Genomic DNA, 20,703 nt, shown 5'->3' with positions numbered 1-20,703 from the left:
AAATACTAAAAGCAGTATATAGTTTTCTAATGAAAATGACATGTCTGTCATAAACCCCAAATCTCAAATTTAGGGGTTTTTATCTTCTTTCTATCTGCTCTAAAATACAGAGGGTAATTTTAAGACAGAAAAGCACAACTGGAGAATCATCAGTGGCCACATGGAACCATTCTTAGAGATAACATTTTCATGTAAAACAGAGACCAATCACTCTGTGGACACAAAACAAATTCTATCTGGAAAAAAGCCACCAATGAAAGGAAAGCAAATGCAAAACTCTTTTAGCATTTTAACTAAATTGCATGTAAACAAAGATTACCAAACTTTAAGCAGCAAAACTGGTGGCTTATAGAAAATGAGCTTGAACGCAGACATGTACCAAAACCACGTCGATCTGCAATTTATTATGCCTGATGTTAAGCACCATTCTCACATTTTACACATCTACCATATAAAATAGCCATTTCAAACTGTTTAATACTGGAGATTAGTCTTTATCTTTTAGAGTCATATGCTGAAATATTTATGGATAAAATAAAAATGATATGATTCCAGATTGGAAAAAGAAGAGAGTGGAAAGAGGAGCAGGTGAAACAAGGGAAACCATGAGTTGAGAATTGTTGAAGCTGAGAGATGGGCACATAGGGCTTTGCTCTAGGATGCTCTTTGTTTTTTATTTATACTACTCTACTTACTTATGCATATTTCTGACATGTCACATAATGAAAACTGTTTTTAAGCTAAGAGTTTGTAAAGTACAATTATACTTGAATTAATACGGAATTTGGTATTAATTTGTACACTAGATAGAATAATCTATACAACAATTTAAAATTCAGAGTATTAACAGAACATAAAGTCTCCACTAAACAATACACAGTTTATAATCTGCCTCATTTAGTTCAGTGAAAGCCTGAGACTACTAGGTCAAAGTTACAGGTTCAATTTTGTTAAGAAGTAGTTTGCTTTCTTCTGTCTCTCAAATGTATAATTCTAATCTCAGCCAGGCATTCCAAAAATGCATTTTAGCCCCTAAAACAAAGAATAATATATAATGTTGAATGAGGACAGCAATTACCAAAAAAAACCCCACATCATTATACATGACAGTATAATCGAAAGATGATCAGTTCAACAGGAATTGCAGGGTATGGTTCCAATAAGCTTCAAAACCAACAGGCCTTAGAGCTTCACTGATGTGTTCCATTCTCCTTCAAGGCTTCTAACTCAAGGCCCATATTTCACATGTTAATGTTGATTCTCATGATCATTCTACAACACTAAATTGCGAAGTTCCACATTTTGCTTCTAATAAACACAAATGGCCCTAGTATGGCAAGATCCAACTTATCATGGAAATGCTTCTTGATTATTTACCAAATGTGTATGCAAAAAAACTGTTTCCAGAGCACACTATTTAAAGTACATATATATAAATGTTCTGAATTCTTCATTATAACTAGCAACCCAAAATGATAGTAGTATATACTTATATTTTACAACCTGCTTTATAAATATCACAAAAGCAACTACGTCAGGAAAGTAGCGCTCCTTGACTTCATTAAGAATTACATGAATTTCTACATATGGAAATTTGCTTTATATGTATATATATGTAAAATATATAACAAAAAGAAAAATAAAAATGATTGATCTTTTATTTACCTATATTCTTCTCTTAGATGCACACATCTTAATTAATATTTTCCTTTCAAAATGGCTCTAGAATGGCACCTTTTACTTTCTCTGACTCAAGATGGTTTACTGAAGTGAAATGGAGACGAATGGAGGATGGGGAGAGATGTCAGTGGATTCCATTTTGAGGGAGCACTTTTATTCTTGGTAGAGAGTATGCTCTCTCCAAAGTGATAACTTATGACAATTTTATCTGGCACTTGTATCTCTTTTATTAAACATAATTGCTGTGTATTTAATCAAAAGGGAAGTCCACTGGGCCAACACTTTTAAATTACTTCCCCTTTCTGTAAGAAACAAAAACTAAACCTTTTTATCAAGGGAAATAGATAAACAGCTTCCAAGTTCAACAAGCCATGGTGTTGTATGGAAAACAAAGAACTAGAAAGAAAGAGAGTTAAAACACAGTGAAGTTAGCCCAGCTCTGTGGTGCTGCCAGCCATGTGCCATGTCATGAATCCCCTATCCTCACTTGGAAAAGGAGGGACCATGGTTCAGGAGGTGACCCAGGATTATAGCACAAGTCCATCTGACTCCAAAACTTCTCTTTACATTTCACTTACCTGAGAAACAGAATATACATCGTCACTTGGCTGCAGCTTTAAATACACTCATGAATAGGTTTTTGCTTCTTCATAAAAACACTCAGCTCTAGGCAAACACACACAATCCAAGGCTTGCTGATCCTACACCATTCTTAAGACAAGCGGCCACAGTTTAATTCCAATTCTTAACTAATTTACATGCATGCATAAAATAAACATTTACAAAGGATGATAAGGTAGATGTGTAACTATTGCACCCAAAAAAAAATGAGCTAGTTATACTGACAAAGAACTATTAAGAATCCAGCACCCCTTCTCTTCTCCCATGTAATTATAGTTCTTTAAATTTGACTTTCCCCAGAAGTGAGCAGAAAAGAGCTGCCTAGCACTCAGAAGCAATAATCACAAAATTCATCAGTGGCAGGAAACTATGAGGATGTGCACTCAATGTTTATCCAATGCTATTTGCTCCAAATAGAATTACGGTAAGACTGTGACAGGCACTGTAGGCTGGCTCACTCAACACCTATTGTCAACCACCTGTCTCCCTTGCCTGCCTCTACTTTTAAGGTTGACAAAGCTAAATATTCACTTTCCCTGCCTTTTCATAAGGCAGGAACGGGGCATGGACAGGGGATAGACAAGATGACATGTACCAACTCTCTGGCCAATATGACTTAAATAGAAGTCAGCTGGTGGAATTTCTGGGCAGCTTTTTCTTTTCCTGATAAGAGAGACAGATGAGGCTGGCACTACCCCCCACCCCTTACTGCACACACACTCCATCACCCTTCTCCCAGAGCTAGGGCAGCCACCTTGGCAAGTAGGAGGAGACAAGCCTGAGAACGAAAGTCAACATATGCAAAACGGCAGAGCAAAAAGTCAAAGAGCCTGGGTCTCTGAACAGCAGAATCAGCACTAGCAACTGCCTACCTCCAGCTTCTAATTATACAAAAACATTAAATCCCTATTTGTTTAAACCACTCTAAGTCAAGCCTTCTGTTGCTTGAAGCTATTTCTCTAACATTCAAATAAACACTATGGTAAGTAGCCACGTAAAGCCCAGCTACCCTAGAGCATTTAAGCACCTAACTTTCTTTGGGTTTAAATTTGCATGCTGAGATGAAAACACACCGGACTCCAGACCAGGCATTCACTGTGACTTGCTTTTGACCTTAGCCAAATCATTTCACTTCTCTGAGCCTCAGCCTTCTCACATTTGTAAAGTCACATTTGTAATGATGCCTGTGCTGCCTATTTCACATGACTGTTCTGAGGGTCAAATGAAGGACCTCACTTTGAATAAACCCTAACGTGCTATAGGAATGTAAAAGTTGTATACTCCTTGAATGTATTATGCTCCCTGTATATATATTTAGTTGCCACCTATCTCACTCCCAAATCTGACAACAAATATACTATGGCACTGAATTTACTCAAGAACACTACACAAGATACTGGTTTTTTAAGTATTCTTCCCTAAAGGATATTTATGCTTTCTAGCCAACACACAGAATCTACTTTGAAGCAAAAAGGTTCAAATCTAATAAGAGACAGTATATATGTAGTGAAGGCAGACAAAAGAGGTACTCTAAAGTTACAGATATTCCAAATTCTGCTTTATAATTCATCTGTTGGTTATATCTGATTAAGAAATTTGATTAAGGAACAACTATACCAAGAAATAAGCAATGGTGGCTTTGTAACTCAATACAGTTAACTAACTTCAAACCTCTTATTCTGTGAAAGTTCCTCCTACTCAAAAGCGTTTTTCAGGTTTTTTTGTTGTTTTTTGTTTTGTTTTGAGATGGTCTCTTGCCCAGGCTGGAGTGCAGTGGCGCGATCTCAGCTCACTCCAACCTTCCCCTCCCGGGTTCAAGCGATTCTCCTGCCTCAGCCTCCTGAGTAGCTGGGACTACAGGCGCGTGCCACCACACACCCAGCTAATTTTTGTATTTTTAGTAGAGACAGGGTTTCACCATGTTGATCAGGCTGATCTCGAACTCCTGACCTCGTGATCCGCCCACCTCAGCCTCCCAAAGTGCTGGGATTACAGGTGTGAGCCACCATACCTGGTCCAAAAACAATCTTTAAACATTGTTTTAGTTATTAATTACATAAATACTCATTAGATATGTGAAAGGTACAAAGGTACAAAGAAGAACAACAAAACAAACATCTGTCTACCGCCAGCTTCTAATTATACAAAAACATTAAATCCCTATTTGTTTAAACCACTCTAAGTCAAGCCTTCTGTTGCTTGAAGCTATTTCTCTAACATTCAAATAAACACTATGATAAGTAGCCACTTAAAGCCCAGCTACCCTAGAGCATTTAAGCACCTAACTTTCTTTGGGTTTAAATTTGCATGCTGAGATGAAAACACACTGGACTCCAAACCAGGCATTCAATTTAGGATCAGACACTCAGTTTAGGAATCAGACAGTCAGTTAGGATCAGACAGTCAGTTTAGGAAGCACAGCATTACTGTTTCCTTTGGAGTTCTCACGTTCTCCTCCCTAGGCCCTTCCCTTTCTCTCCACCTATTCCCTTACCTGCCACCGCACCCAGCCGCATTTTTCAGTTTTATGAAAACACTTAAGACTTAACTAGAAAATTGGCTCTGAGTTATGTATGTATTGGTTGGCTCTGCATTGAAGCTTTCACATAGTAAATCGTGAGTAAACAGGATGTTATTTGCACAGAGAAAGGGGTCAACGGAAGTAGAACTTTGTTAGGGATATTACCATAACAGATCGCAAAGTGAGCTTCCTGAAGTCTTAAGATCATAAAGCACACTCACGTGTAAAGAATAAAGTGGAAATTCTCATTTAATCAAAAACCCTCCTTTGGCACATCTACTCCTGTGTAGTGCACAGATTAGGGCCCTCAACATCATTTAGGAGCTTGTTAGAAAGGCAGAATCTCAGATCCTAACCCTGAACTATCAAGTAGGAATGTATATTTTCACAAGATTCCAGGTAATTCATAAGCACATTCAAGTTTGGGAAGCACTGAACACTGCCCGGCCAGCACTTAGTTTGATTTATTGTTGATAAAAATAACCAGCAAAACAAAAATGTATTACCTCTGCACAAGAAGCTGGGAAAACATTTCCATAATACTCTCCCTGTCAGATTAGCTTATCTCAAACACAGTTCTAATCATGACATTCAAAACCTTCAATGACTTCACCTATCAAAAAAAAAAAAAAAATCTAAAGCCCTCAGTATGACAGTCAAGCTCCTCCAGTATCTGGCAATAATCCCCTTTCCAATTCCACCTTAGCCCCTTCACACGCCCAATGTCTGTTTCTCAAAGTGTCAAGAGCAGGTCACCTGCAACAACAGGACCACCTGAGGCCCCACCCTTGACCTTCTGAATCATGCTCTCTGGGAGACAGAACTGGGATGGAGCAATCTTAATCACTCTCCCAGGTGATTCTTGGGAAACAACTGCTTATGCTTTAAGACTGTCTCATCCTTGGTCAAATTTCTCAGTGTAACCACACAGAAGGGGTCACTCCATCCTTAGTGTGAACATGGGCCTATATGTGGCTCTGTTGTTGTCCACCTCACACAGTATTGCAATTACATGTTTCCATGCCTGTTTCCTCTTTCAGTACCTAAATGTAGGAGATGCATGCTATGTATCTCTGTATCTCCAACACCTAGCACATCCTTGACAGAGTAGGTGTTCAATAGTTGCTGATTTACTATAGCATTACTTATACTAAGTAAAAAAAAAAAACTTTTGAAGCAACCTAAAACTCTATCCTTTGGAATCTACCTAAATTAATTACAGTACAACCATCCAGTGGAATATGCATTCATTAAAAATGACATTGATTATTTATTGATTGGAAGGATACCCAGGATATATAGATACACATATATATGCGTGCATATATATATGCATATATGTATATATACACATATATATGCGTGCATATATATATGCATATATGTATATATACACATATATAGCAAATATATATATACATATATACATATATATGTGTATATATGTATATATACATACGTATACATATATACGTACATATGCATATATACGTATATGTGTGTGTGTATATATATATATATATATAGCAAAAAAATAAAAAAGCCAATTGCAGCATAAGTCTATAATGATCCTGGAGAATATACACCAAAATGTTAACGGTGGTTATCTCTGGGTGGTAGGTTTATGAATAACATTTATTCTCTTCTTTATTTCTTAATTTGAATTTTGTATAATAAGCATGTATATCTTTTTTACATTTTAAAGCTTTTCCCATTTTAAATGCTTAGGGAATAAATGCTGTTACAGTAAATGATGGCTTCATTTATTCTCCTTCCAAGGACAGGGATTTCCAAAGGTTGGCAGTGATCCAAAGGTTGGTGTTGCTGCTAAGAGGGAGAAGAAGAAAGTAGGAAATGGGTTGTCCTTAGCAACTGGCTCTCACAACTGTTCCTCCTACTGTCTGGGATTCATACGAATATTTAAATAGCCTTAAATATCTTATCTCATAACACTTTTCTAATAAGAACTGTGGCTTCCAGTGGAAATGATATAGCTCAATTTTGACAATACCAATTAGTTTCAGCATAAAGAAACTATCTGTTGTCAATTTTTTCAGTTGTGAAAATCAGCTTCCAAACTCATTTCACCTTCCCTGTTGGCTCTTCTCTCACCTTTCAAAGTGTTCACTGTCCAAGATGAATTTATTAAATACTGTCTTATTCTATTTAGCATGATACCAAAGCTGCGTATGCAAGCTGATGTCAATGACCTTCTCTTACTATCACCAAATTGGGGCACTGCTTCTGCTATAAGAAAGATGAATGGGGAGGTGGAGGGATATCTCTAGTCTTTTTTCTTATACTATATAAGAAACCTACAAGCAACTTTCATTTCAATTAATATTTTACATGAACTCAAGATAGCTTAAAGAAAAATAAATTAAAATTAAAATCACACCAACCACAGGAAGAACATGTCAATTTATTGGTATTTATTTCCTTAATTTTAACATTTAGCCTAAAACACAAACAAAACTAAGATTTGCAAGAAAAAAAAACTGAAATAAATTTGCTAGCCATGCTAGGATTTTATTATAGTTTGGATCAACTTTGAATGCTTTAAATATATATTATGCTTGAATATCAACAGAAAAAATGTGTGTTGGTGTAGCCTAAAAACTTGAACATATTTGCTTCTTGGGTTCTTCTAAAATGTCCTTACTCTATGAAAACCTGAAGTAAATCGGAGAAAAAAGTTTAAAATGTTTGACAGAATATTAAAACTCAGTGTAAGCAGAAGTATAGGAAGAGCTTTTAAAGCCTGTTTTTTTTTGGTTAAAGCAGCTCAAAATCATATCTCCAAAAGAGCAGAGTTTGAGTACAACTTATTTCCCTCTAGGCTAGAAAACCATGGCTGTTCATTTAACAAGTTTAAGGAGTATAGCTAGTGTCATAAACCCCAAACATGTAGCAGAAATGCAACCTATGCATCCAAATGACATAGGACAGTGAAAGGGGCCCTACACTGGGAGACAGGAGACAGAAAATTTCTTCCCTTTTGTTCTGCAATGGCCACATGACTCACTAGTCACTATGCTTCTCGGAATTTCTCACTTCCTCATCTGTAAAAACAAGCCCGGGGCTAGATGATGTCTAGGTTGTTTCCAGATCAAAAATTTTTAAAGCTCTAATTCTACACATTCACTTTACACATATACAAAACTGAAAACATTCTATTTTTATGATCTAAAAAAACTGCAAATAAAAGAACTGCATTTTAGCAAATTTTTCCACTGACATTTTGAAAAAGGAAATAAGATTTAGCCTTATCATTTTAATATAATTAATTTACTTTTCAATACTAGTATCATATAATCCTTTATTACTCATTAGCATTTAATAATCATATCTTTTATTTCTAATTCCAATATTAGAAAGAAATTTGTCTTCCTTAATTATGGAATCAGCAGGAATCATGAGATATGCTAACAGCAGAAAAACATCTGAAATATAAAAATTAGTTTTGTCTTTCAAAAAATAATTGAAGACAGAAATTTCTATTTCCTGAAGTATTGTATTCCAATATGCAAGATAGTTCAGTAATAAAAACTAATATTCACTTAGTCTTATGTATAGAGCACTTTAACATGCATGATGTCACTAAATCTTTATGACTCTATGAGGAAGTATTGTAATTATCCTCACTCTATAGTTGAGGAAACTGAGGTCTCCTGACATTAAGTGATTGTCCAGGATCATAAAGCTAGAAAGCCCCAGCTCCATGACTCAACCTCTGACCTTTTCTCTCAATTTCTTGCTCTCTCTCCATGCTGTTCTGCCAGTTCATAAGCCCTTAATGTTTCTAATGAAGCCCACTTTCACCTAATTTAATGTAGACGGTTGCTCATAAACACCATAACAATTAACTGGGAACAAATATTTGAAACACATATGGCAGAAAGGGTTAATTACCTATCTTTAACATATGAGGAATCTTTACAAATTAAAAAAAAGAAAAGAAAAAGACCAACAATTCAATGAAGTTAGGTGAGAAATACAACCAGAGAGTTTACACACAAAAAAAATTATTGCTAATAGCTTTGAAACACTTGGGGGGAAAATGCTCAATCTCAATTAAATGACCGCTAGTAAAAATAAGATTTTTTCCTTTTTTTTTTTCAGACAGTGTCTCACTGTCGCCCAGGCTAGAGTCCAGTGGCACAATCACAGCTCACTGCAGCTTCAACCTTCCAGGCTCAAACAATCCCCCTACTTCAGCCTCCCAAGTACCTGGGACCAGAGCCACACACCACCGCACTTAATTTTTGGTAGAGACAGGGTCTCACTATGTTGCCCAGGCTGGTCTCGAACTCCTGAGCTCAAGTGATCCTCAGCCTCCCAAAGTGCTGGAATTACAGGCATGAGCAACTGAGCCAGGCCTTTTCCCTATCTTATTAACAAAACTTTTTAAATTGTTCATGTGCTTGTACATAGAGTATGAAATAATAGACACTGGAGACTCGGAATGGTGGGAGGGAATGAGGCATGAGAAATTACTTAATGGGTACAAAGTATGGGTGATGGCTACACTAAAAGCCCAGATTTCACGATTACCAATATATTCATGTAACATAACTGTGCTTGTACCTCTGAAATTTATACAAATCAACAATATTTTAAAATAAGATCAAAATTTTTCATATACCGAATTGACCATGGTATAGGAAAAAGTTACTCTCATATACCATCAGTGGGGAGTGCATGTGTTAAAAGTTTTTTGAGGGCGATTTTACAATATTTAGCAGAACTAAACACAGCCTTAAACACAGCAATTCCTCTCCTTGGAATTTGTTATTTATTTTATTTATGTGAGCAAAGAAAAAAATGATCATCTTGTAAAAGATGTTCCTAAGAGCATCAGCTATTACAGCAAAATACTGAAGACAACTCAAATGTCTCCCCTCCCTCAGAATTAACTGAATTTGGGGTACTTCATACAATAAAACACTACACTCCAATGTAAAACAGTATGCTTTTTTTAAAAAGCAGAATATATTGTAGTTTACTCCTCATTTGCCTATGAAAAATATACATGGAGATCACACCCAAAGATCTGAGATGGTATATGCTTAATAAAATATGTCTGGAAAGATACGCAAGAAATTCCCCTTTAGAGAATGGAACTAAGGATGCAGGTCTCTAGGGAATTACATTTAAGTTATTTTAAAATGTAATATTGTTTGAAGTGTTTAATTCTTTGCATGGCTATACTCAACTTGGTTGATGTGAGGAGCCAATTAGATAAAATAATGTATGTTAAAGCAGCTTGCAAACTGAAGAGAATAACAGAATATAAAAACCTAAGGCTTCCTGGATATTGCTTTATCACTAGCATTTCGGGAAGACTTTTGATTGATCCAGCACCTACTGCCCCGAGCTAAACCCAGTAAGCATAATTCCTCAAAAGAAAACTTTATGATGGATTGAAGAATTCTCTATCAAAATGCAAATATCCACCCAAGAGCTAAGACCTTTAAATGGTGCTTTTCAAACTTCATCAAATAGCCCTTAGTGTCAAAGACACTGAGCTTGTTCCCCCAGGGACCTAGAAAGTAGATCGAAAGGCCCTCACATTTTTAATATGTCCATACTCTTTCTGATAATTTTTTTTTCCACAAACCTTCAAATAAACTGACAATCTGATAATTTTTTTTTCCACAAACCTTCAAATAAACTGACAATCCAGGGAGATGCACTAGGTTTATTTTGAGGCCTTGCCCCCAGGAACTGGGATGCACCTATTTGAAGAATTTTACTTTTTTTTTTTTTTTTTTTTTTTTTTTTTTTTTTTTTTTTTGAGACAGAGTCTCATTCTGTTGCCCAGGCTGGAGTGCAATGGTGTGACCTCGGCTCACTGCAACCTCCACCTCCCGGGTTCAAGCAATTCTCCTGCCTCAGCCTCCTGAGTAACTGGGACTACAGGCACGTACCACCACACCCAGCTAATTTTTGTATTTTTAGTAGAGACAAGGTTTCACCATATTGGTCAAGCTGGTCTTGAACTCCTAACCTCAAGTGATCCGCCCGCCTCAGCCTCCCAAAATGCTGGGATTACAGGCGTGAGCCACTGCTCCCAGCTAGGAATTTTACTTTAAAGGATATGTGTTGGCATCTTAGCAGAGGACATTTTAAATATGGGATGAAAGCTATGGAGAAAAAAAGGAAGTTAAAAAGAACTGGAATCAGATACTCTGTGATTTAATCTTCAAATTCACCATTCTTTCAACAAGTTACTGAACTCCTACTATGGCCATAGTCTCTTTCCCTCATGAAGCTATAGTTTTAGTTCTAATGGATACTGTACAAGTGCCCTCTAAAGAGGTTTTTAGCCAATGCATGCATTCCCCACTGATGATGCAGGAGAATATGTCTTCCTCCACACCGTGGTCAATTCAGCACATGGCCAAAATTTTTGTCTATTTAGAGGAGCAGGGTGGAAGCACATGTCAAGCCCTGAATCAAATATAATTAGATAGCGAAACAAAGGATGTCTTGGACATGAAGTTAGAAAGATGGTCAGAGAAGGCCTATCTGAGGGAAAAATGTTTGAGCTGAAACCCAAACTGCGGGAAAGTGTGATGGTTAATTTTTGTGTCAACTTGACGGGACCTTGCATGGGATGTCCAGATTAAACATCGTTTCTGGGTGTGTTTGTGAGGGTTTCCGGATGAGATTAGCATTGGAATCAGTGGACTCGGTAAAACATATTGCCCTCCCCACTGTGGGCATCAGCCAATCCATTTTGAATAGAACAAAACATGGAAGAAAGAGGAATTTGTCCCCCCTTCTCTGTTTCTTGTCTCACCACTTGAGCTGGGAAATCTCATTTCATCTTCCCTTGCCTTCAGACTGGGATTCACACCATCAGTTCCTCTGGCTCTCAGCCTTCGGACTCAGACTGAATTACACCACCAGCTGTCTTGGGTCTCCAGCTTGTAGATGGCACATTGTGGTCTCCATATTTGCATATGCTAATTCTCCATAATAAAATCTCCTTAAAAATATAAAAAACCAATTGATTATCTTTCTATGGAGAACCCTGACTAATTCAGAAAGGGTTAGCCATGCAAAAATGAGAACGAATGTTCCAGAGCAAAAGTCTGAGGTAGTATATACTGGGTACATTCGCGGGACAGGAAGGTAGCCACTGTGGCTGGAGCATGAGAACCTGGGGACAAGGGGTAGATGATGAGTTTACAGAGGCAGGAGCCAAACCACGTCAGGCCTTATAGGCCAAATAAGAAGGTGACATTTATTTTTATTGCAATGGGAAGCTGTTGGAGGGCTTTAAGCAAGGGAACAATACAGTCTCAATTTTTTTTTTTTAGGAAATCATTCTGTTTGCTATGCAGGCAGTGATCTGTGGAAAGCAACACAAGAAGCAGGGAATTAATCAGGAGGTAACTGAAAGAATCCAGATAAGAGATGATGGTGATTTAAATTGTGGATTTAATAGTAGTGATAGAGGGTTCCGATTTCAGGATGTATTTTAGAATTGTGGGATTGCTGCTAATTTGCATATGGGGAATGAAGGGAAAAAAGGATTGGTGAATGAACCTCAAATTTTCAGAGTGAGCTATCTATCTGGTGGATAGTGATAGAATTTGCTAAGGAGAGGGGCCATGAAGAGTTTTGTTGAGAACATCGTGTCTGAGATTCCTGGCTGACAGCCAAAATCACTTTCCACTTCTTCCTTAGTAACCAATCCCCATTTTTATTCCAGCTAAAAGACTACATTTCCCAGCCTCCTTCTGTTGCTACGTGAGGTTATATTGCTAAATTCTAGCCAATAAGAAACAAAATGGAAGTATTGTACAGGACTTCTAGGACAACTAAAAGAGAGAGAACTCAACTGGGAGCTAAACTTTTTGCCCTATGCCCCATCTTTCTTCCAGCTGTCTGGAATGAGGAAGATGGCTTGGAGCTCCAACATCCACTTTGAGGATAGAACTCGTGCTGAGAATGGCAGATTGAAGAGTTTAAATGGAGCCTAAGTTGCTGGTCATTTCAGGAAGCAGATGTACCGGTGCTAGACCGTCTATCTCTGGACTTCTTTTAAGTGGAATAAATTACTGTGTGTTTACAGTTATTTTGAGTCCTGACACAAAGATAGATTGATATATCTATTAAATATCCCAGTTAGGTAGAACCCCCATTTTAAATATGAAAAAATTAGTGTCAGAGAAGTTACTTGCCAAAGTCAAACAACTTAAGATAGAGACAAGATTTGAACTAATAGCAGTCTAACTCCAAAGTTCGTGTTTTGTTCTCATATGATACCATTCTGTACTTAAAACAAAGAGAAGAAAAAAGGCACCAGAGCCAAATGTTCCCAGTAGCAAAATCCTATCTAGGACAAGTTCTGCACATGATACCCAAAATAGTCCTACTCAACTTGATATAAGGAAGAATTATCTCCTATCTAAAAGTGTTACTATTTATATCATGTGAGTATCACTTCCTTTACCCTTTTCTAAAGGCAATACATTTTTTACTGTATTCACCTATCAATTCAGCCCTAGGTTTATTTCCATTGTATTAAAATACTACTTATATGTATAGTTGCTCTTGCAACTAAATATATGCTGAACTTCATTCTGAAGTCCTCTTGTCATACTCCTTTGGCAAGTATAATACATACTCCAACCCTGAGTCAGGACCTTCCCTTACATGACCCATTAATTATGCACCCTGTAGGAAAATAATAAGTTTTCCACAGCTGCCAACACTGATGTATCCAACTAGTACTTTATTGTAACAATCATTTCACAGTTTATTGATGATTATTATCCCACGAGGCAGAGAAACAAATACTTTGTACAGTAAAAACTTCGTGTGTCTATAACTTCTTCCTCAGTCTACCAGGTCTATCTCCCATACAACAGAGAAAATCTGATTAGTAAGGCAAGTCTTATTTTTTATATGGTCAGGCTGACAATAGGTTTAAACTTTAGGTGTTCCTAAGTAATCAAAAGGAAGGATTTTTTCCTTTTACTTTTTCATTTAAATATAATTACATACTGTGAAGTACATAGATCTTAAATGAACAGCTTGATAAAATTTTACAAAATGAGCACAACTGTGTAGCCACCACCCAACTCAAGATATAGAACATCTGCAATGTCTAGAATCCTCTCTCAAGCTCTGTCCCGTCATCACCTACTCCCCCATCAAGTTAACCATTATCCTGACTTCTGATTCCACAGATTGATTTCACCTGTTTTTGAACCTGATGTAAATGGAATAGTGCAACATATAATCTCTCACTTAACATTATGTCTGTAAAATACGTCCATAATGTTGCAGGTAGCCATAGTTTATTATTTTTAACTAGTGCATAGTATTCCACTTATCCATTCTGTTGTTAAAGGATATTTAGATTATTTGAAGTTTTATATTTGCTATACCTTATAAGTATACATATAGTATATATTTGCAGTTTTATATTTACTGTACATAATGCTGCTTTTAACAGTCTTACCAAATACTTTTAGTGCATAAAGGAAAGTTTTTTACTTAGAATTTTTTATTCTTGTTTTTATTTTATTTGTGGTATGCAGACTATGTTGCCTATACATTTGGGAGTAATACATCCAAAGTAAGTATGCATACTTTGGCTAAAATATATTACACATAATTCAGTGCTCAACAAAACTCCCTTGAGTGCTTTAGCATTGTTGGGAAAATAATGAAAAGAAAAGAAAGAAGGAAAAGAGACTATTGTGAAGGATAAAAAATGTTTAGAAAACAGGTAATAGAAAGTATAAAATAAAGAGAAGCATCAAGTGTCAAGTCCTTCCCATAAATTTTTAAATTCCCATTAAATTAGATGAACACAGTTTGGCCTTTAGGTTGTGCTATCTCCTAATGCTAATATATTTCCTCAAGATGCACCCATAGGGTTGCATGCCTTTTTTTGCTTATCTTTGGCATGTACCTTAACTTCTTGGAACATGCTGGGGCTCCCTGGTGATACAGTGATTACATGTAATAGATAAAGTTGCCCTTTAATATTCCACACCAAATTAGGATTCCCAATAACTGGAAGCCTTGGCTCCTCCCCCTCCACTGCCCTGAGGAACTATAGGTTAACAATTTTTAAAATGTTTTAAATATTTATAATTTGGGGTGGGGGGTGAGGTGCCTCATCTCTTACCTTTCCCAACCCACTCTCATTCATTTATTCAAAACCATCATCTTGTTTCCTAATGTATACGAGGTTCTATGTTAGGTGCCTGCCTGAGAGGTGAGAAAACATATAAATACAAAATATTTACAGATTAAATAACAAGTATCTAAGATTTGCTTCCAGATAATAAGGAGAGTAAGAGGATGGGGCAGAATGGGGCAGAATTGGCCATGAGTTGATGGATTGATTGTTGGAGCTGGGTGATGAATGCTTGCAGGTTCATATTACTGATCTGTCTGCTTTTGTGTGTGGTCAAAGTTATCTATAATAAAAAGTTTTTTAAAACACACACCAAAAAGCTGCATAAGAACATACAGACTAATAAAAGCACTAAAACATGCATTCAAACAGCATACTGAAGTTTAAAGGGGCCATAGCAGTTATAAATCCCAATCTTAGCATGATAACTCTGAGGCCTAGAGGTTAAGTGAGTTGCCAAGGTCACATGGGCAGTAGCAGAGGGGATACTAAAAACTAGCTCACACACACACACACACAGAGCACTGTTCCTTCTTCCAGACAGACTGCTCCAATACAGAGCAGTATATGGCAAAAACCATGAAGCTAGTCCAAACTAGATGCCTAAGAATTCAAAAGAAACACCACCTGGGCCTGAAAACCATGGGCTCTTTCACAAACTATGCTCTGCTCACAAAACTAAGAGGGCTGTCCCCCTATAACAGAGATAAAAATCTGATTAGTGAAGCAGGAATTTTACATTAATTTGCAAGATTGTTTGGTTAACCTCTGTTTCTCCCAAAGTCGCACACTTGCCTCGCAAGGTGCTGAAACCGTCACATATTAGCAACAGAAACACTAGCAGCTGATTACCCCTTCACTTGTCAGTTAGATAAGAAAAGTGAGCATATACTACATGCCAAGAACTGTGTTAGGAGTAGGAGATACTACAGAGATGAGCACAGTGCCTGCCCTCAGGGAGCTCACAGGCTGGCAGAGAATTTTTTAACAATTCTGAAGGAGAACCACAGAGTCCCCTAGCAACCTAAATTCCCTACAGCTCTAAATTCACATTGACTAACCTTTAAAAGGTACATTTCTGCACATTTAGACATTTTCAGATGGGCATAATTTTAAAGCAATAAACCAGCATAAGGTATGGTTTTATTCTAACTAGCAAATTGTCAGGCACTAATAAAGGTAAGGCAACTGCCTAAAAGAAGACAAAAACTGTCATGCATTGGTAAATGTTTGCTTTTGACCATGATGACTTTATTCTGAACATCTGTCCAGGTGATTCTTCCCATAATGGAGCTTTATAAAGAACCTTCAGTGAGATTTCATCTCTTTAAAAAACAAAAAACTATAAATATTCCACTTTTCTCCTATACATAATGTTGTTCATTCTAGACTCTAGATGTGCTAGATAAAATCCTAACGAAGCATCTTCTCATTTCTTTTGGAGTAGATTGCCTTTTTCCTTATAGTCCAGGAAAGGAAATTCATTTTTTCTTATGTTTTCCATTGTGTCTTAGAACACCTGAAGACAAGTAAAACAATAAAATTACTTAAAAAGTAAAAAAGCAGTTATCAAAATTAACTCTTTCAGATCATCTCATTTTTACTTTTCACATAAAAATAGATGTCACCTCTGGTCAGCCTAAAAAAATCACAGAAGTAATATAGTCTGTACTCAGAACATTCAAACATATTTCTAAAAATTTCACTGTTGGGGAAATGTAGCAAGTTATAGTGGTTTACCCAAAGTCCTTCGGCTGCCTCTATGAGGAAAAAAATAGAAGAGAAAAAGAGAGAGAGGGAAAAAAAATCTAATTTCATAATCATTAGATCACTGCTCTGCTCATACATAAGCACTGCCAAAAGTGATTTATAATATTAAAAAATGCTATTGATCTGGACATTCATAATTTTATGTAGCTTTTATTTCTAAGGTTGGGCAATAATTCTCTACCTCATTATAAAACATTTATCCATTCCCACATTCAAATCCCCTGAGCTTTTATGCATTCTAATTCATTGCTAGGCTAGCAGTATGTGAAAACAAAATTGTTTCGAAAGAAATATAATCGTTCCAAGTTAGCACACTGGCAAGCTTTTATTTTTCTCTTTTGGACATTAAATACTAATTACCTTCACATTCATGATATTACTAAATACCTTGTTTCAGCCACTCTATCTTAATCAAACTGCAGAATTTAGTGGGATTAAAAATGGCTTCCAAAGACCTTAGGCAGAAAGATAAAGGCTAGCCCTCCAACAAGTTGAATATGAGTTTTGGCAAGGAGATTTATCCATAACCAGAAAGGGTTGTTTGGAACAATTGGAAAGGAAGACTATCTGAATTTGCACAGCCCTTTATCCTGACCAAAATAATTGAACATTTAAAATTAGAAATTTACAGCCTCACAAATTAAAGAGACAACCCAAATCTATTAAATTTTCCTCAGGGTTTTGTCCAAAGCATAAAGAAATCATAACATCCTAGAAGTCTACATATACCATAATGCCTTTTTAATCAATCAACTCTTTGTCTTAAGGCCAAAAAAAATCCATTTTTTATCATCAAATTCCAGAACCAGCAAGCACAAGTTAGTTACAGCACTACTGTAATTACAGCTTCAGACCAGCTCTGATACACAACAGAAATTGAATGTTTGTAAGGACAGATAAGCATTTTAGGCATTTGTGTTCTCTTTTATTTGCACTCCTTGCCAACTTCAAGCCCAAATTAGAAATTCCAAATCCTTTGAACCTGAAAATTATTAGATTTGATGGTCAGATATCTATGTATTATTAAGTAATAAGGCTCTCTGGGACCAAGAAGATAGCTTTATACAAAACCTGGTTATTAATCAGAAGACTAAGGCAATCTCAAAGGCAGCCTTAAGCCAATCTCAAACTGCCTCCAGCAGTCAAGCAGGTAAATAACTGCTTGGGCTGGGTGTGAGCACATGAAGTCATGGAAGGAACTGCAGAAGGAAGCTGTGCCCCAGCGGGAGGAAGACAACTGCCCCTCAGCTCCAGCCAGTTATTCCCATGTCTTCTGATTTCTCAAGACAATGCAGAAATGCAGATCCATATGTGAAATCTTCCTATTAAAATGTTGGCACAAACATTGTAAAAGCACTGCATGGGCCAAATAAAACATGTCTGTGGGCAGGCTTCAGCCAGCTGGCTGCCAGTTTGAGAGCTCAGGGAAACTATGGAAAAAGAACAGAGTAAAATATTTCCTTGACTCTCCCTCCCCCAACCTGATAATGCACAATCTTGGAGACCACTGTGAGAGCCTAGTCAAACGAGGGTGAAAAAATGGTGTGGAAACTTCAATTTGATCCTAAGGTAGACACTACTTTTCTATTATACTTTGTTCAATGAACTTTGTATACACACACACACATGCACACACACACAGTTTTCCACAGATCCAGGATCACAGATAATTTCTGGAGCACTTTCATCCCCCATTGACTTGAGGAATATCTTGCTTATGTATCCTAGAAAATGGAAATCCATTTAAAATGCATTCATATTCCAAAAGATAGGCTGACTTTAATCACAGTTGACCTTGCTCTTAACAAAAAGCAAAATGTACATAGCATTTTGTTCTTGGGGAAGCAAATTGTTCTTGGGGATATGAAGTAACCAATTCAAAGTCCAGTAAGCTCATTTTCAGTAACAAGTCAAATGCTTGCTGCTACCAGGCCACCCTTGCTTTGTTCATTATTCAATCTGTGATGTGGTACAAGCAAAGTGTGATAACTAAAGAAAAATAAACAGAATGTCCAAACTTCTGATCTAAGCACAGCTCTAATCATGGAGAATGTTATTTCTCATTGTCTGTTTGCAGGACAAGGCAACATAGTACAGAGGGAAATAAAAGTTTTGCATCTCAACAAAAGAATAAAGTTCTCTATGCAAACATTTTAATAACATAGATACCATTTTATTGCATTCCCAGAAATATAGCCTCCTTTCATCTTTGTTACCATATACATAGGCATATTTCACAGGCTTGTTATATTTCCCAACTATTTACCCACTGTCTCTAACTAACACACACTAGGAATTGGTTTAATCAATGGTTCTTAACTGTTGAGAACCTGATAAAAGTGTAGGACCTACTTACTCCTGAAAAATGGCTTTGATTTACTACATTTGCACACAATTTTAAGAGGTTTGAGGACCCCCTGAAAAAGTACATCCAAAGGCCCTCATTTGAGAACTCTGTTACAAAACTACGGTAATTTCATTTTTATTTCATTTATTCTAACCTCCCAAAACATTTATTTTAGGATTTGCTCTAAGAAATTAAGGCAGTGGACTTGCGTTCATTTCCTTTCTTTTTGACATATATTTAAGCAATTGTTTATATTTTAGAATTACCATCATTTTAAACCAGTCAGGCCTGGGCAGATCATTAGGCTACTAATTGGCTAAGAATAGTTTACCATTCACTTGGTAAAATATATTATTTCTTTTTATTTCTGGACCATAAGTGCTTTTTCCTTTCCATCATTAGGTTATTACAAATGTTAAGATGATGCGGAAAAGTGGCACACTATGAGAGTATCACTTCCAGGAGATATTTCCCACAACTATCCTATACTATGGGCCAATATTTTACATTTCACAAATTTTTTTAATGGTATAATTAACTTTAAAAGCCCTTATAAACACAGGCCCCTCATGTTGCTTCCTTTATCACTAATGTTCTGCTGTCTCCCACTTGAACTTTCATTTATTTTCCCAGGCATTCCTCTCATAAAAAAGAGAAAGGATCTAAGGCATTTTCTCCATATTACCTAATGACTCATCAGCAATTATAAAATATTTTAGAGAACCACCTTAGTGGATGTCATCAGAGATGCCAGGATATGTCTATCAGGAAATGCAAAATACCGTTTCCACATAAAGGTTTTGATGTTATTACATTCTCTTTCTGTAACTGAATTTCTTTGCTGAAATTTGGTTAGGCCTGACCTCTGTTTACAAACAAGGGATCATCTATTGAACCTCACATAAAGAATAAGATGATGCACACATCATATCTGAAAAACAAAAATGTCAACCTTGAAAAGTGGCCTATGCTGGCATCAGTATTGTACATGGGATTTTGCTGCCTTAGAGCTTTACGCTCATCTAAATGCCTATAAATAAAATCTATAGCATAACCTATTTTTAAAAATTAATACCACCAACAGGCTGTATGCAGCTCAGTTGAATTTATTTGTAAATGGATTTTGATATGCAAGACTTGATGATGTTAGAATTCAGCTGAAATAAAATATCTGAACAACCTCAAATCTAACAGCTCAGCACTTTAGATTCACTGACAAAGAAGGCAAGTGTAGTATTAAAATGAAGAACTCACTTCTACCAAAAATAGCCCCCTCCAAAAACAATCCTGCAATAATCTTAATGAACAGGCTATTATGCAACTGGACCCTGGAAAAAAAACAAGGTAGTATAAGATGTCCTATCTTCAAGGAGTTTACCATCCAGTTGCCATCTCTGGAAATTCAATCTGTTCTTTAAATTTCAAAAAAAAAATGTTCTCTAAGAATACAAAGTTTCTTAAAATTGGGAGGTCAAAATATTATGAGGGGAAAAATGTAGGAAATCTAACTGACCTATCAAGTTTTACATAAAATAAAATGCATCCCTGTATATTTCAGATTAGATTCCGGGATCCCCTCCTCCAAAAGACCTTCCA

General features: G+C 36.5%; 1 protein-coding gene across 2 annotated transcripts in view, besides 5 other annotated features; it reads right to left on the bottom strand.

The window, feature by feature from the left end:
• PLCL1 (phospholipase C like 1 (inactive)) overlaps nt 1-20,703 on the bottom strand; it is a 345,271-nt gene that overhangs the window by 252,833 nt on the left and 71,735 nt on the right. The window lies entirely within an intron of this gene.
• Nucleotides 2,832-3,126: a silencer, noted in NCBI's record as "tiled region #13904; K562 Repressive non-DNase unmatched - State 2:TssF". NCBI's record gives its function as "represses a minimal TATA promoter and a strong SV40 promoter by Sharpr-MPRA in K562 cells {active_cell/tissue: K562}" and the evidence as "EXISTENCE:reporter gene assay evidence [ECO:0000049][PMID:27701403]".
• Nucleotides 3,319-3,378: an enhancer, noted in NCBI's record as "active region_16948". NCBI's record gives its function as "activates an Ori minimal core promoter by ATAC-STARR-seq in GM12878 lymphoblastoid cells {active_cell/tissue: GM12878}" and the evidence as "EXISTENCE:reporter gene assay evidence [ECO:0000049][PMID:35858748]".
• Nucleotides 3,419-3,468: an enhancer, noted in NCBI's record as "active region_16947". NCBI's record gives its function as "activates an Ori minimal core promoter by ATAC-STARR-seq in GM12878 lymphoblastoid cells {active_cell/tissue: GM12878}" and the evidence as "EXISTENCE:reporter gene assay evidence [ECO:0000049][PMID:35858748]".
• Nucleotides 7,625-7,674: an enhancer, noted in NCBI's record as "active region_16946". NCBI's record gives its function as "activates an Ori minimal core promoter by ATAC-STARR-seq in GM12878 lymphoblastoid cells {active_cell/tissue: GM12878}" and the evidence as "EXISTENCE:reporter gene assay evidence [ECO:0000049][PMID:35858748]".
• Nucleotides 7,935-8,024: an enhancer, noted in NCBI's record as "active region_16945". NCBI's record gives its function as "activates an Ori minimal core promoter by ATAC-STARR-seq in GM12878 lymphoblastoid cells {active_cell/tissue: GM12878}" and the evidence as "EXISTENCE:reporter gene assay evidence [ECO:0000049][PMID:35858748]".

Source organism: Homo sapiens, chromosome 2 (assembly GCF_000001405.40).
Source record: "Homo sapiens chromosome 2, GRCh38.p14 Primary Assembly".
NCBI classification, from domain to species: domain Eukaryota; kingdom Metazoa; phylum Chordata; class Mammalia; order Primates; family Hominidae; genus Homo; species Homo sapiens.
This window is presented reverse-complemented; position numbering and strand designations above follow the sequence as displayed.